The sequence below is a fragment of the Homo sapiens genome, chromosome X, assembly GCF_000001405.40.
Source record: "Homo sapiens chromosome X, GRCh38.p14 Primary Assembly".
Taxonomy (NCBI): Eukaryota; Metazoa; Chordata; class Mammalia; order Primates; family Hominidae; genus Homo; species Homo sapiens.
This window is the reverse complement of record NC_000023.11, coordinates 18,422,052-18,436,718: the sequence shown is the minus strand read 5'-3', so window position 1 is coordinate 18,436,718 and position 14,667 is coordinate 18,422,052. Positions and strand designations below refer to the sequence as shown.

The 14,667-nt window shown below is 44.2% G+C and overlaps 1 protein-coding gene across 2 annotated transcripts in view, besides 2 other annotated features; it reads right to left on the bottom strand.

Annotated features, from left to right (window-relative positions):
• Positions 1-11,111, bottom strand: part of CDKL5 (cyclin dependent kinase like 5) — a 228,022-nt gene extending 216,911 nt beyond the window's left edge. For both annotated transcript variants that reach the window (NM_003159.3, NM_001323289.2), the window contains exon 1: positions 11,024-11,111. The gene's annotated coding sequence lies outside the window, so the exon portion shown is untranslated. The remainder of the gene's footprint in view (positions 1-11,023) is intronic.
• Positions 10,791-10,860: a silencer, noted in NCBI's record as "silent region_20685". NCBI's record gives its function as "represses an Ori minimal core promoter by ATAC-STARR-seq in GM12878 lymphoblastoid cells {active_cell/tissue: GM12878}" and the evidence as "EXISTENCE:reporter gene assay evidence [ECO:0000049][PMID:35858748]".
• Positions 11,196-11,490: an enhancer, noted in NCBI's record as "tiled region #2020; K562 Activating non-DNase unmatched - State 4:PromP". NCBI's record gives its function as "activates a minimal TATA promoter and a strong SV40 promoter by Sharpr-MPRA in K562 cells {active_cell/tissue: K562}" and the evidence as "EXISTENCE:reporter gene assay evidence [ECO:0000049][PMID:27701403]".

Below are 14,667 nucleotides of genomic sequence, written 5' to 3'. Positions count from 1 at the left end.
CATGTTGCCCAGGCTGGTCTCAAACTCCTGGGCTCAAGTGATCTGCCTGCCTCAGCCTCCCAAAGTGCTGGGATTACAGGTGTGAGCCACCATGCCCAGCCCTCTTTCAGTTCTTTAAAAGGTTCTGTTGTGCAAAAACCCCAGCTCTCTCACCTTGCCTCATCACATTTGCACCTTCTGTCTGGAAAACTTATTTCCCCAACTAGACCAGGTCCTTCTCATTCTTCGGGTCTCACTTAAATGTTACTTCCTCAGAGCGACCTTCCCACCTCTTCCCCCAAGGACAGACTCTCCAACCCTACCCTGTTACATACAGTTGACCCTTGAACAACACAGGTTTGAACTGCATGGATCTACTTATACCCAGATTTTTTTTCAATATAAATTACACTGAGTGTGCCTCCCTCTCCTGCCTCCCCTTCCACCTTCTCTACCTCTTCCACCTCTGCCCCTGCTGAGACAGCAAGACAACCCCTCCCTCTTCCTCCTCAGCCTACTCAATGTGAAGACGATGAGCACATTTATAATGATCCACTTCCTCTTAATGAATAGTAAGTATCTTTTCTCTTCCTATGATTTTAATAACATTTTCTTCTCTGGCTTACTTTACTGTAGGAATATACTACATAATACATATAACATACAAAACAATGTGTTAATTGACTATTTATATTACCAATAAGGCTTCCAGTCAACAGTAGGCCATTTTAGTAGTTAAGTTTTTGGGGGGGTCAAAAGTTATACTTGGATTTTTGACTGCGTGAGGGTCAGCACCCTAACCCCTACCTTGTTCAAGGGTCAAGTACACTCCCATAGTGTTCTGCAGTTCTCCTCTGCCTCCATCTCAAGACTAAATTCTTTGGCCGGCTCACACCTGTAATCATGGCACTTTGGGAGGCCAAGGTGGGTGGATCTCTTGAGGTCAGGAGTTCGAAATCAGCCTGGCCAACATAGTGAAACCCCGTCTCTACTGAAAATACAAAAATTAGCCAGGTGTGGAGGCACGCACCTGTAGTCCCAGCTACTTGGGAGGCTGAAGCACAAAAATCGCTTGAACCCAAGAGGCGGAGGTGGCAGTGAGCCAAGATCGCACCACTGCACTCCAGCCTGGGAGACAGAGTGAGATTCTGTCTCAAAAATTAATTAATTAATTTTTTGAGGGCAGGGCCTACTTACATTTTATCACTCCATGTAGTCTCCAGCAAAGTCTGGCACACAATACAGAATCATTAAGTAATATTTGTTAAATGAATGAAGGACAGATCCTCAGGATGTAGGACAGGTTATTTGAGAAATAAATAATTGATAAAGTATAAAATAATTATTTGCACAAAATTAGCTTTTGTCTACCCCAACTATTTTCAGTAAGTACAATTAAAATCAAATTTTTTCTTTTCATTTGCATTGCTAAACTTGAATTTAGTGGTAATATTAGGAATAATAATTACTAGCAATTAAAGTTAATATATCCCATAAGCGGCTGACAAACCTTGGTGGGGTGTGTGTCTGAGGGTGTGGATAAATTCTAGGATATGTCACATCTGACCCAGCCTCTGGTAATCTTTGAAAGATTCTACTCATCAGGAAATTAGTTTCTAAAATCAGCAATGTCAGGGTAATCAGGTAAATCCGGGTCAGTAAGTTGTTCTTCAACTATTACTCACCACCTTTTTTTATCTGTCATATCTTCCTCATGAGACTGTATATGTTTACTTTAATTATCAAAATACAATCTCATACTTCCAAGAACCTAATCTTTAAACATAATACAAAATCTTTTTCTTCCTTTTTGAGATAGAGTCTCACTCTGTGGCCCAGGCTGGAGTACAGTGGTGCGACCTTGGCTCACTGCAACCCCTGCCTCCCAGGTTCATGGGACTCTCCCGACTCAGCCTCCTGAGTAGCTGGGATTACAGGTGCGTGCCACCACACTCAGCTAATTTTTGTATTTTTTGTAGAGAGAGGGTTTCACCTTGTTGTCCAGGCTGGTCTCGAACTCCTGACCTCAAGGGATCCGCCCACCTTGGCCTCCCAAAGTGCTGGGATTACAGGCATGAGCCACCATGCCTGGCCCATAATACAAAATACACAGTTTAAAACTGATATCTAAAATTGCAACTTACCTAAAATAACATAATCCTTTTAAACAATATATATTATTTATATATGTTTTGTTAATTTCCAGAAACCAAAGTTGTTCTTACTATCAAAATCAAGTTACACTGGCACTTCATGTTACCTATGCCTATTTCAAACCAGTTACGATTGAACTGACAGTAAAATATTAATATCAGACCAGTGCCGTGTGTCTAACCTGTTTGCCATTAAAAATCCAGACACAACCAACCACACAAGGAGTTATTGATTTACCTGCCTGGTACATATAAGGGTCACTTTCCATAGAGAAATGTTCATCTAAAAGCAAAGAAAATTAGATACATTTTCCAAAACACTTTACTTCTAACCAAACCATTACATTCCTCTCCTATATGTACCCAAAAAAATAACATCCCTAAGCAGTGTCCGTCTACCCAAGCAATACACTGAGCAAAGGAGGAAACCTGCACAAGTGGGGATCAGCCTGTGCTGATGAGACTTCCCGTTCCTAAGCTGGCCTTACTCCTCAGCCCACCCTAGAAGGTAACTAAGAAGAAAATGATGCAGGCAGGAAAAGGCAGTTACAGTACCTTGCATGTTAAGCTGTTTGCAAATCCCATCACAATCCAGTCTGAAGTAGACACAGTGTCTAAATACCTAAATTTGATGAAGCCTGCTCTACGACACGCGCATTAGGCATGGATCTGTCAAGGGGGATTAGAGGTCCAAACAACAAAATGCACAATGTCATTAGCTTAAAATCAAGAAAACCAATTGTTTCCCTGTGCTCTTACATTTGAAAGTAACTTTTTCTTGCACAATAATTACATTACTTTTACCTTCATTTATTTTCCCTGCATTCCCAACATATCACCAAGAATGTTGTATTTTATTTGCTGGTTTAAAAAAGATCAAATGAAAATAAAATTTAAGCCACAAACACAAGGTAATTTATATCATTTGCAGTTATGATCCTTTAAATTCCGCTATGTATTATGCATAGGCAAGAACTTTTGAAAATACAAAAAGCATTATGAAATGATACTGTGTGTGAAAATTTTTTTTTTTATTTAAACGGAGTCTCGCTCTTGTTGCTCAGGCTGGAGTCCAATGATGCAATCTCGGCTCACCGCAACCTCCACCTCCCCGGTTTAAGCAATTCTTCTGCCTCAGGCTCCCGAGTAGCTGGGATTATAGGCATGCGCCACCAGGCCCGGCTAATTTTGTATTTTTAGTAGAGATGGCTTCTCCATGTTGGTCAGGCTGGTCTCGAACTCCCGACCTCAGGTGATCCGCCTGCCTCGGCCTCCCAAAGTGCTAGGGATTACAGGCGTGAGCCACCAGGCCCGGCCGAGAAGTGTATTTTTTTTCTTTTCTTTTCTTTTTTTTTTTTGAGACAGGGTTTCACTCCTGTTGCCCAGGCTGGAGTGCAGTGATACGATCTTGGCTCACTGCAACCTCTGCCTCCCAAGCTCAAGCCATCTTCCCACCTCAGCCTCCCAGGAGGTTGGGCCTACAGGTGCACACCACTGCACTCAGCTGATTTTTGTATTTTTTGTAGAGATGGGGTTTCACCATGTTGGCCAGGCTGGTCTCAAACTCCTGACCTCAAATGATCCGCCCGCCTCGGCCTGCCAAAGTGCTGGGATTACAGGCGTGAGCCACCCACGCCTGGTCTCCAGAAGATATTTTTTAAGGACATCTTTTAGACCAGGCACAGTGGTTCATGCCTGTAATCCCAGTACTTTGGGAGGCCAAAGTAGGGGAATGGCCAAAGTAGGGAACTCAGGAGTTCAAGACCAGCCTGAGCAAAACTGTGAGAACCCATCTCTACAAAATACAAAAAAATTAGCCAGGCATGGCAGCCTGCACCTGTAGTCCCAGCTACTCAGGAGGCTGAGGTGGGAGGATCACTTGAGCCTGGGGAGGTGGAGACTGCAGTGAGCCGTGATCACACCACTGCACTCTAGCCTGAGTGACAGAGTTGAGATCCGGTCTCAAAAAAAAAAAAAAAAAAAGACATCTTTTAAGATCTACATGATTTCATTTGTCAGTATCTGATGACAAAAAGATCTAGGTTGGCCAGGCACGGTAGCTTACACCTGTAATCCTAGCACTTTAGGAGGCCGAAGCGGGCAGATTGCTTGAGCCCAGGAGATCGAGACCAGCCTAGCCAACATGGTGAAATCCTGTCTCTACTAATAATACAAAAATTAGCCAGGTGGGCCAGGCATGATGGCTCATGCCTATAATCCTAGTACTTTGGGAGGCTGAGGCAGGCAGATCACCTGATGTCAGGGGTTCAAGACCAGCCTGGCCAACATGGTGAAACCCTGTCTCTATTAAAAACACAAAAATTAGCCGGGCATGGTGGACATGCCTGTAATCCCAGCTACTCAGGAGGCTGAGGCAGGAGAATCGCTTGAACCCAGGAGGCAGAGGTTGCAGTGAGCCAAGATCACACCACTGCACTCCAGCCTGGGTGACAGAGCGAGCCTCCATCTCAAAAAAAAAAAAAAAAAGAAAGAAAGAAAGAAAGAAAGAAATTAGCCAGGTGCAGTGGCATGTGCCTGTAGTTCCAGCTACTCAAGAGGCTGAGGTGGGAGGATCGCTCGAGCCTGGGAGGTGGAGGTTGCAGTGAGGTGAGATCACACCACTGCACTCCAGCCTAGGCAACAGAGTGAGACCCTGTCTCAAAAAAAGGAGAGGTCTAGGTGAAGCAAGTAAATAAGGTTAAAAAAAACTCATTGACAGGAGAGAATTTTGGGGGGTGATGGAAATGTTCTAAAACTGGATTGTAATGATAGTCACACCAACTCCATAAATTAACTTAAAAATAATTGAATCATACACTAAAAAGGTGAGTTTTATGGTATGTAAAGTACACCTCCATTACGTTATAAAGAAATCAACAAAATTTTGTAATCCCAGCTCTTTGGGAGGCCGAGGTGGGCAGATCACGAGGTCAGGAGATCGAGACCATCCTGGCTAACATGGTGAAACCCGTCTCTACTAAAAATACAAAAAAAAAAATTAGCTAGGCATGGTGGCGGGCGCCTGTAGTCCCAGCTACTCCAGAGGCTGAGGTAGGAGAATGGCGTGAACCCGGGAGGCAGAGCTTGCAGTGAGCCGAGACCGCGCCACTGCACTCCAGCCTGAGCAACAGAGCGAGACTCCGTCTCAAAAAAAAAAAAAAAAGAAAAGAAATCAACAAAATTAACACACAGGTCCCACCTGTGTAGAAATATGGTCCTGCTTTGGCCAAGATATTTCTGGCCCTGAGGCTCTACAGTATTCATCAGCACTTTCTAACTTAAATAGGTAACAAAAGTGATTTTAATCGATTACAGAAAAAGATGTTAAGTTTTCTTTTTTCCTAACATGGACTTCTAAGTGTTCCTTAGGGCACATAACTGTTTAGTTCTCTTAATGATGGGTCTTGTTTTAAAAAAAAATCACCGCCAGGTGCGGTGGCTCATGCCTGTAGTCCCAACACTTTGGGAGGCCGAGGCAGGAAGATCACCTGAGGTCAGGAGTTCGAGACCACTTGGCCAACATGGTGAAACCCCGTCTCTACTAAAAATGCAAAAAAATTAGCCAGGCGTGGTGGCAGGCGCCTGTAATTCCAGCTACTCAGGAGGCTAAGGCAAGAGAATCACTTGAACCTGGGGGGCGGAGGTTGCGGCGAGCCGAGATCCCATCACTGCACTCCAGCCTGGGCAACAGAGTGGGGGACTCATCTCAAAAAAAAAAGAAAAAAAAAATTAAAAATGTAAAGAAAATTTGTTTTAATCACAAGAAGCTTTAAATAGCAGAAAGTTCTACTTTCATGTAGAAAAATTTTCAGAGTCCAACCTCTGTATTAGCACACAACAAGCGGTGGGCGCAGTGGCTCATGCCTGTAATCCTAGCACTTTGGGAGGCTGAAGCGGGGGGACTGTCTGAGCTCAGGAGTTCGAGACCAGCCTGGGCAACACGGTGAAACTCCGTCTCTACTAAAATACAAAAAAATTAGCTGGGCATGGTGGCATGCACCTGTAATCCCAGCTACTTGGGAGGTTGAGGCAGGAGAATCGTTTGAACCCAGGAGACGGAGGTTGCAGTGAGCCGAGATCACGCCATTGCACTCCAGCCTAGGCAACAGAGCGAGACTCCATCTCAAAAAAACACGCACACACAATAATATATCTCTATAGACTTTACCTCCAGATTTTATTTCACTGGTCATAATTACACAAGAGGTGCCCATCTGCAAATTATAATGGCTGCCATTTTACTTCAAGGGTATATCTAAGCCACAAAATTGAATTCAAGGAGTATCTTCGAAGCCTTTATTAGTGTAGCAAATGTAATCAAAGTCCATCAAAAGTTATAATGCAATATCCAGAAACATGAAATACCAAGTAGCTAATTAGAAACAACTACCTCATTTTTGGCATGATTATGTACAGCCTTCATTTATGAAGAAACAGAACCTCTGTTAGAAAAGTCTGACCCTCTGGTTAGAAAAGTCTGCACTTCCAATTGTCCTATCTAGCAGTCCTGATGGATCTGAGTTCAGTCCCCCATGTGACTAAAGGTCCAGCAGCCTTGCCAATGTAGCCCATGAACTCCAAGAAGCATACATATACCTTCAGTACACCCGAGGCATAATATACAGTAGGAACTCAAAATACCCTTGGGGTGGGCCTGGCGGTGGCTCATGCCTGTAGTCCAAGCACTTTGGGAGGCCAAAGCAGGAGGATCGCTTGACGCCAGGAGTTCAAGACCAGCCTGAGCAACATCATGAGACCCCGCCTCTATTAAAAATAAAGAAAAATTGGCCTGGTATGGGAGCACGTGCCTGTAGTCTCCAGCTACTAGGAGGCTGAGATGGGAGGATCCACTGAGTCTGCCAAGTTAAGGGTGCAGCAAGCTGTGATCACACCACTGCACTTCAGCCTGGGCAACAGAGTGAGACCCGGTGTCAAAAATAAATATGCTTGGGAAATCAGTTTCCTAAAGAGAAGCAGAAAGCATGGTTTTGAAGAGCACGGCTTCAAGTCAGACCAGTTTGGATGGCAATTTTGCTGTTTCTGATGACTAGCTGGGTAATCTGAGCAAAGTACTTTATTTCTCTGAGCCCATTTGACATGTATACAGGAGGTAAGAAGACCTACTTCATAGAGCTGTTGTGAGAACACACATGTATTCATGCAAATAAATTACGTGTCACAGTGTCTGGCATGCAGTAAGGCTCAATAGATGGAGTATTATAATTATTACAGAGAAGACTGCCCAAAAGAGAGACCACACCCAAAACCTGACCCTGATTAGGATTGTCTCAAACCCCAATGTTTCTAAGAGCTTAATTCAAAGTATTGACAATCATTTTCAAATACCTGAATGGGCTAGTTCCTTTTAACCTAATAAATAACTTTCTATTAATTCCCAAATCTGAAATATTTAAATGTTATCAGTCTCTAGGTAGAAGGTCCTTACCCTCAGCTTTCACGCCCACCAACAGAATTGCACCCAAGCTCGTATCTCAGTGTGAAGAAATGTACAAACTTGAATGAGAAATGAGGCCAGATCTTTGATTAATTCAGTCATCCATGCGCTGCTCTACACACATAAAAAAAAATTCTAAAAACGATCAAAACCTAAAATCTGAACACTAAAATTGTGCGTCACCAACAAAAGATTTCTAACATTGGGCTTGAGATTGAAAGCAAATTAGAAAAACCTCCAAACAGAAAGTTTAAATGTAGTCTTTTAATTGCATTATTGTCCTAAGTTGAAATGTAGTCCAACTGATGCCATGATCAGATGATAAAGAATCTGTGAGATTCTGTCGCCTCCTTTAACAAGAAATTTGATGTTGCCAAATTATTTGATGTTGCAAAAAAAAAAAAAAAACTTTAAAATCTAAAATTACCCAATTCTGAGTAAATAGCTTTTTCTACTTAGAAAGCAACTTAATACTTCAAATTGTGCTATTCTTGTACCAAAGTGAAGGGTCATCTAAAAGATTTCCCTCATGTTTTAGATCTATGCATGTGAATTAATTATTCCTAAAAGCCTCATATTATTATTTGACATCAATTTATTACATAAAAAAGTCATATTCCCACAGTAACTGCCAAAAATCAGGTACTGTGTTAGCATACCTAATATCTAGAGGAAATAAAGATCACCACCAGTTATCAAAACGGAAGGGGAGAGAATGTGAATTTTAACAGACACGTTGAAGAAAACCTATTTTCCTTGCTCTCTTTGCAAATTTCTTACAGCCAATTTCTCAGATAAAGCTAAATTTTCTTTTACAAAGTAAACTGAAATGAAAATCATAATGAAAGGTTAACTTTCTGCAAGAGAAGCCACTGTCATTTCCAACAATGCAGCTATTGTTAACAGTCTCTCATAGATTCCTGGACACAGTGGTGAAACAAGGCTAGGGGTGATACTTAAAGGAATTTCTCCACCTCTGTCTTTCAGTTTGTAATGTAACAATACTGTACCTTCAAAGTAGAAACACCACGTAAAATCTGGTTCCCGTTAACTGAAACTGCCTTAACCCCAAGCAGCATATTTGCAACCGAATACATCTGATTCGCAATCAGTCAACCTTCTATTACCCATCTATGCGAGACGGCCCTGCAATTTCTTTCAATGGGAGCCTTTCCTTTTAAAACCCCAGGGGACACAATAGATGCCACACTCTGATTTAAATAATTCCAAGAAAATTACAATATAAACAAAGGCAGACTTAGGGAACTTGCATAAGTAAAAATCAAAAACCTGAGAAAAAGGGGTAAAAAAATACCAATCACAAACCCCTAAATCATGAATAAATTTTAAGACTGAGCCAGGAAAAAAGGAATTACTCTCTGGACAAAGAATTCTATTTCAAATTTAAAAAAAATATATCGGATTTTGATTTTAAAAAATTTAGGCTTAGGAAATATGCTAAACAACAAAACTGGAATACTCAACTGTTTGATATATATACATCTAGCAAATTAATCGCTGCATTGACTATGTTAAAAAGGCAAGACAATTCAAAGAGATTTGATACCCTCTCCAATTGAGGAACCCCCAACTACTCTGAAATGGCAGATAATATCTAACACTCTTGGAATGGTTAACTTTATTTAGTATGCCTCTTTTGTAGTTCTATTATTTAATAGAGCCAAACGGAATTTTTCCCTAATTAGGTTTCCTTGTACTTGTGAAATGCTCAGCATACAGTGCTGGCAGCATTAGCTTCTCTCTTCTGGCTCCTTCCCCCCTCAACCACCCTCACCTCCCCCCCAACCCCCGCCCCGAAAAAAAGATTTCCTTCCCAAATGTTCTCTTCTCTGCATTTGTCAACAGAAACACCTACTGGTGGTGTCAAACTGCTAAGACTGCTGCAGGCTTCCTTATTCCTGGTTTCAGTGTCAACGCCAAAAATTCTCAATCCTAAAATAGTACTTTTAATAAAAAGAAATTAGAAGTCTTGCTAGGTACTCAACCTATCATATTCTCGAAAAGCAGCACGCCTTTTTTAAAAATCTATTATTAATGGACCCTAATTGGATTGTTAATCATAAGATCATACTATCACCTTCAACACTAACATACAGGAACAAGTAAATATAGCCTCTTCACATTTTGTGAACAAAACATTTTAAAACACTTGAAGGAAATAAAAACAAATTTACATCTAAGTGTCACTCACATGTAATTCCGAATAGCCTCGGTGAAGATGTCTTTTTTGTAACCCTACAGCAAGAAAGAAACAAGCTGGAAATGTTCCAGCAGATGTTACCTAAAACGATAATCCTGTTCTATACACATCTCTGTCTCCTGTTTCTGACAAACGCTCTCAGACAAATTAATTTGTGTAATCTTTTACATTAACTATATAACCATTACGTTCAAACAAACCTAATTCAGATGCACAGAAAGAAATCATTCGGTGTCAACAATACTTTCTAAAATCAGCTTAAATTCCAGCCAATTAAAATAGATTGTGCTAACAGAATACTGATCTGCAACTACTTAAATATCACAGCACCCGTCTAATCTCACTGTAGAGATACTAAGGTCAGGCTTTTCTTATTCAGGCATCTGTTCTTTAACACTCAAATGAAGCGAAAAACAAAACCCTCAAGGAAGATCTGCCTTTACACTGAAATATGTTCAGGTTATTTTTTTCCCCAACGTGGGCACAAAACGTGTCAATGCAAGGAGGACCTGTTCGTTCTGGGAGACGGTTCCAAATCCCAGAATCCGATTTCTATGAGGGTCCAAAAGGTATGAAGGTCTGAGAAGGGGCCATTCTTCTTCCCCGCACTATGCCAGTCGTGAACTTCACAGCATCGCCTGAAACTTGTCCGGGGGAGGTTGCGGAGCCGCGGGGCCGGCGCCCGGTCGCTAGCCCACCCTCGCGGGCAGCCAAGGTCAGAAGGGCCCGGGCCGCGACTGACGGCCCCTGGCGAGTCTCGGGCTCCCTCCGAACTCGGGCAGGGGGCTGGGGCGCGCAGGCCCCTCCTCGGCGCCGGCGGGAAGGGGCTTACCTCGCCGCAAGCCCCGGGGAGCTCGTGCCGCGGGAGCGGCGGGGCGGGGACGCCGCAGACCCGCCGCTGAGGGGAACCCCGCGGGGCGGGCTCGACCCGCCGCCCCTCTTTCACACCCTTTCGCCTCCCCACACCCCAAAAGACAGCCCCAGCCCCTCGGGGGAAGCCCTTCCAGAGGCGCAGGGGAGCGCTGAGGAGGGGCTACTCCGGGCTGGGACGTCCTCACCGCGTCGCCCCGTTCCGGGGGAACCGGCGCCCCCGCCCCTTCTCTTGTCCGCCCGGGGGGACTGGGTGGGTCTCCACTCTCAGGAGAAGCTGGGTGGACGCGGGGCCGATGTAAGGGTAAGAAGGCTTGGCGGGCGGGTGGCGGCGCGACTACTCACCCCGCCGAGTCCCCCACTTCTAGCAGGGGACCCCACAGCTCCTGAGGACGCCGTCGCCGCTTTACCTTCCCCAGCGGCAGAGACAACTAATCGAAACCTCCGGCCCCGCCCTCTAGCAGAAGCGAACGCGCAGCCTATTTTGCTAACTGCCCCGCCCCAGCCGGCCCGTTCGGACCAATGGGAAAGCACCTCAGGTTTTGCCCGATCCCGCCTTTACCCCGCCCCCTTCTGGTAGGAGCCAATGAGGAGGAAGCGCTTGTCCTGGGGTTCGGGCTCGCGCCGCTCGTGCTCGAGTCTCCGAAGCCGAAGAACGCTGGTTCCTTATACAAGCTCGCCTGCGCGCTCACGCGCGCGCCGCGCCTCCTGGCACGCCAGGTTTGGTTGCCCCGCCAAGCCCTAGCAACCTGGGCTGGAGAGGCTGAGAGGGGCGGGGCCCGAGCCTGGAGTCGACGCCGGGGGGTAGAGCGGGGAAGCAGGGAGAGGGTCGACGGTGGTGGGGTGGGGAGATCGTGACTGAGAAAGGGGTGGCTGCGGGGGTAGGAGGTGGCGAGGAGGCCCCGGAATCCGCCTGTCACTGCGGAAAAAAGAGGGAATCCTGCCTGCAGCGCAGCTACCCTGCCCTCCCTCCGGAGGGACCCGTGCCGGGGGCTGGGGTGGGGGAAGTCGGAGAAGAGGGGGAGAACATACTCGGGGCGGGAGCTGAGAAATACAGGATGGAGGATGGTTTATCTCTGTTGTTGGTAAAAATGATATCGAAGTCCATTGCTGCTGCTGCCCAACTGTTGCCGCTGCGTGTGCACACACACACGCACATATGCACACACACAACACACACTCACACGTACACTCATCCAGCAGCTTGCGGTCCCTTGGGTGAGTTAGGCGCAAAGACCTAGCAGCCTGAGGATTCCTTACACAGCAGCTGGGCGCGTGCAAAGAGCTGTTGCAGCAGTAGCAGCAGCAGCAGCAGCAACGACCCACACCTCCGCTTCGGTCCGATGCTCTGCCACACAAGATCCCCCAGCTGGCTTGAAAGCAATGAAGTCATCGCCCAACCAGTACAAATGTAAAGATCTTAATACCCACCATGGATCGGGTTTCCAAGGAGGATGAAGAGGTGATGAAATTGAAGGAGATAACATTTCCAATGCTACTTTTAGAAAATAAAGAAAAAAAATTTTTTTAAAAAGACATTGGGGACAAATCTATGGAAAGCTGCATAATTATTTTCGCTTTAACAAGCAAAGGAGAAAAATAGGGTCTCTTCTGGTTAGGAAAAGCACGGAAAATAGGCAGTGTATGAGGTCATAGCTGCCACCAAATTAGAAAGATGCAGTACTGTAATAGGAAATAGATATTTGGGATAAAATCCACTTAATCTATTCCTGTAGTGAATCTGGTAACAATATGTAGCAGCATGCTCAGTTTGGCCACTTGATACCAAGCCAATAGGATTTTCTTTTTCATAACGGTGAATATTTGATGAGGAAATGAAAGTGGAAGCATATTAGAAAATTTTACAGGTAGGAGCAATGAATTAGCAAAGAGGGAAAATGGAGTCAGAGGCAACAACAGAGGGCTTCGCAGAGTCTCCTGCCTCCTCCAGATGCAAAGTAACAGTGCTGTGACCTCTAGCTTCACCCACGTGGATCCAGAACTCCTGGGGCAATCACTCCATTTTCATCCCTGTATATCAGAGCCTTTGTACTAGGAATTTCAGCAGCATTACCTTTGACTCAAATGAATAATTTTTTAAAATTTTATTTAGACCTGGTGAACCGGAAGTAACAAATTAATTATCCGTATAGATTGAGAAGATGGAGAAAAAACAATAACTGAACATCTGTTAATATAGGTCCAATTTAGTATTAAGTAGTAATATTAGATGCCTTATAATGTGCCATCCCATATACACAAATATGACCTTCTGCTTAGGGACATTTGCTTTGATCTGGTTTTAAGTAGTGGTAAAGGATTTCTTGCAGTCACTTGCAGTTTAGTTAATTCGTCTTTTGGTCAAAAACTAACCTTTCTAGAAAGTTAGTAAAAGTTTAAAAAGTACCATGCGCCGGGAGCAGTGGCTCACGCCTGTAATCCCAGCACTTTGGGAGGCCAAGGCAGGTGGATCACCTGAGGTCAGAAGTTCGAGACCAGCCTGGCCAACATGGTGAAACCCCATCTCTACTAAAAATAGAAAAAAATTAGCCGGGAGTGGTGGCGTGCACCTGTAATCCCACCTACTCAGGAGGCTGAGGCAGGAGAATTGCTTGAACCCAGGAGGTCAAGGTTGCAGTGAACCGAGATGGTACCACTGCACTCCAGCCTGGGCTAGAGTAAGACTCTGTCTCCAAAAAAAAAAGTACCATGCTGCCATTTAACTGAGCACTTATGTAGAAAGAACACTAATACTAGCCAGTGAATGGATACCTGCTCTGTGCCAAGAACTTCACATAGATTTAGGGTTGCCAGATAAAATACAAGATGCCCCGTTAAATTTGAATTTCAGATAAACAACGAATAATTTTTAGTATAAATGTGTATTTTTATCCTGGATACATGTGGAACAAGGCTAGAAAACTAAATAAGGTTCTAACCATTGCCAAAAAAATTACGAAATGCCCTTCTAGGTCTAGACCTTGTAATGCAATCAGGATCTGGGAGAAAAGCTTAAGAACCAAATTAATGTATAAATTTGTAGTGTTTGTAGAAAGAGGTGAGCATACTTAGACTAAAATATTATTTGCTGTTTATCTCAAATTCAATTTTAACTGAGCATCTTCGATTTTTATTTGCTAAATCTGACACATTATCTCTAATCCTCTCAATTCTCTGCGAAATTCTCACCATTTTCCAGATGAAGAAACAGCTTGAGAACCTCCCCAGCATCGATTTGCTTTTTTGCCCTTCTAATAGAACCCCAACTCTGTTCAGGCATCCACCCGCTCCACACTACCCAGAGTCTCAGTCAATCAATGTGTGGCCTAATTACACTGAAGGAAAGAATTTAACATTTGATGGTTTGAAAGAGGTTTTCCCTGTCTACCCTGCTGGATGAACAAGGAAGCAAGTACGCTTGTTGCCACTGACAGTCATTTCGTGACTAAGAGGAAAACCAGCCCTAGGTCAAAGCCTACACACTAAATAAGGCAGAATCAAAAAATAGAAAAAAAAATTTTTAACTGGGTTCTTGATGACGTCACTGAGTTGTTTCATTAAACAAACTCTGCCCTTTCCTTGCATTTCAGACAGTTTGAGTCAGACTTTCTATTAGATGCCAGAGACGCATCCCACTACAGATGTCAGAACCTATGAGTGCTACTCATTACGGGTCTCAATAATCAATAAACAAGTGGTAATCAAGATGTAAGACATTTTTGGCTGAGCACGGTGGCTCACGCCTGTAATCCCAGCATTTTGGGAGGCCAAGGCAGGCGGATCATCTGACATCAGGAGTTTGAGACCAGCCTGACCAATATGATGAAACCCCGTCTCTACTAAAAATACAAAAATTAGCCGGGCATGGTGGCATGTGCCTGTAATCCCAGCTACTCGGGAGGCTGAGACAGGAGAATCGCTTGAACCCGGGAGGCGGAGGTTGCAGTGAGCCGAGATTGCGCCATTGCACTCCAGCCTGGGCAACAAGA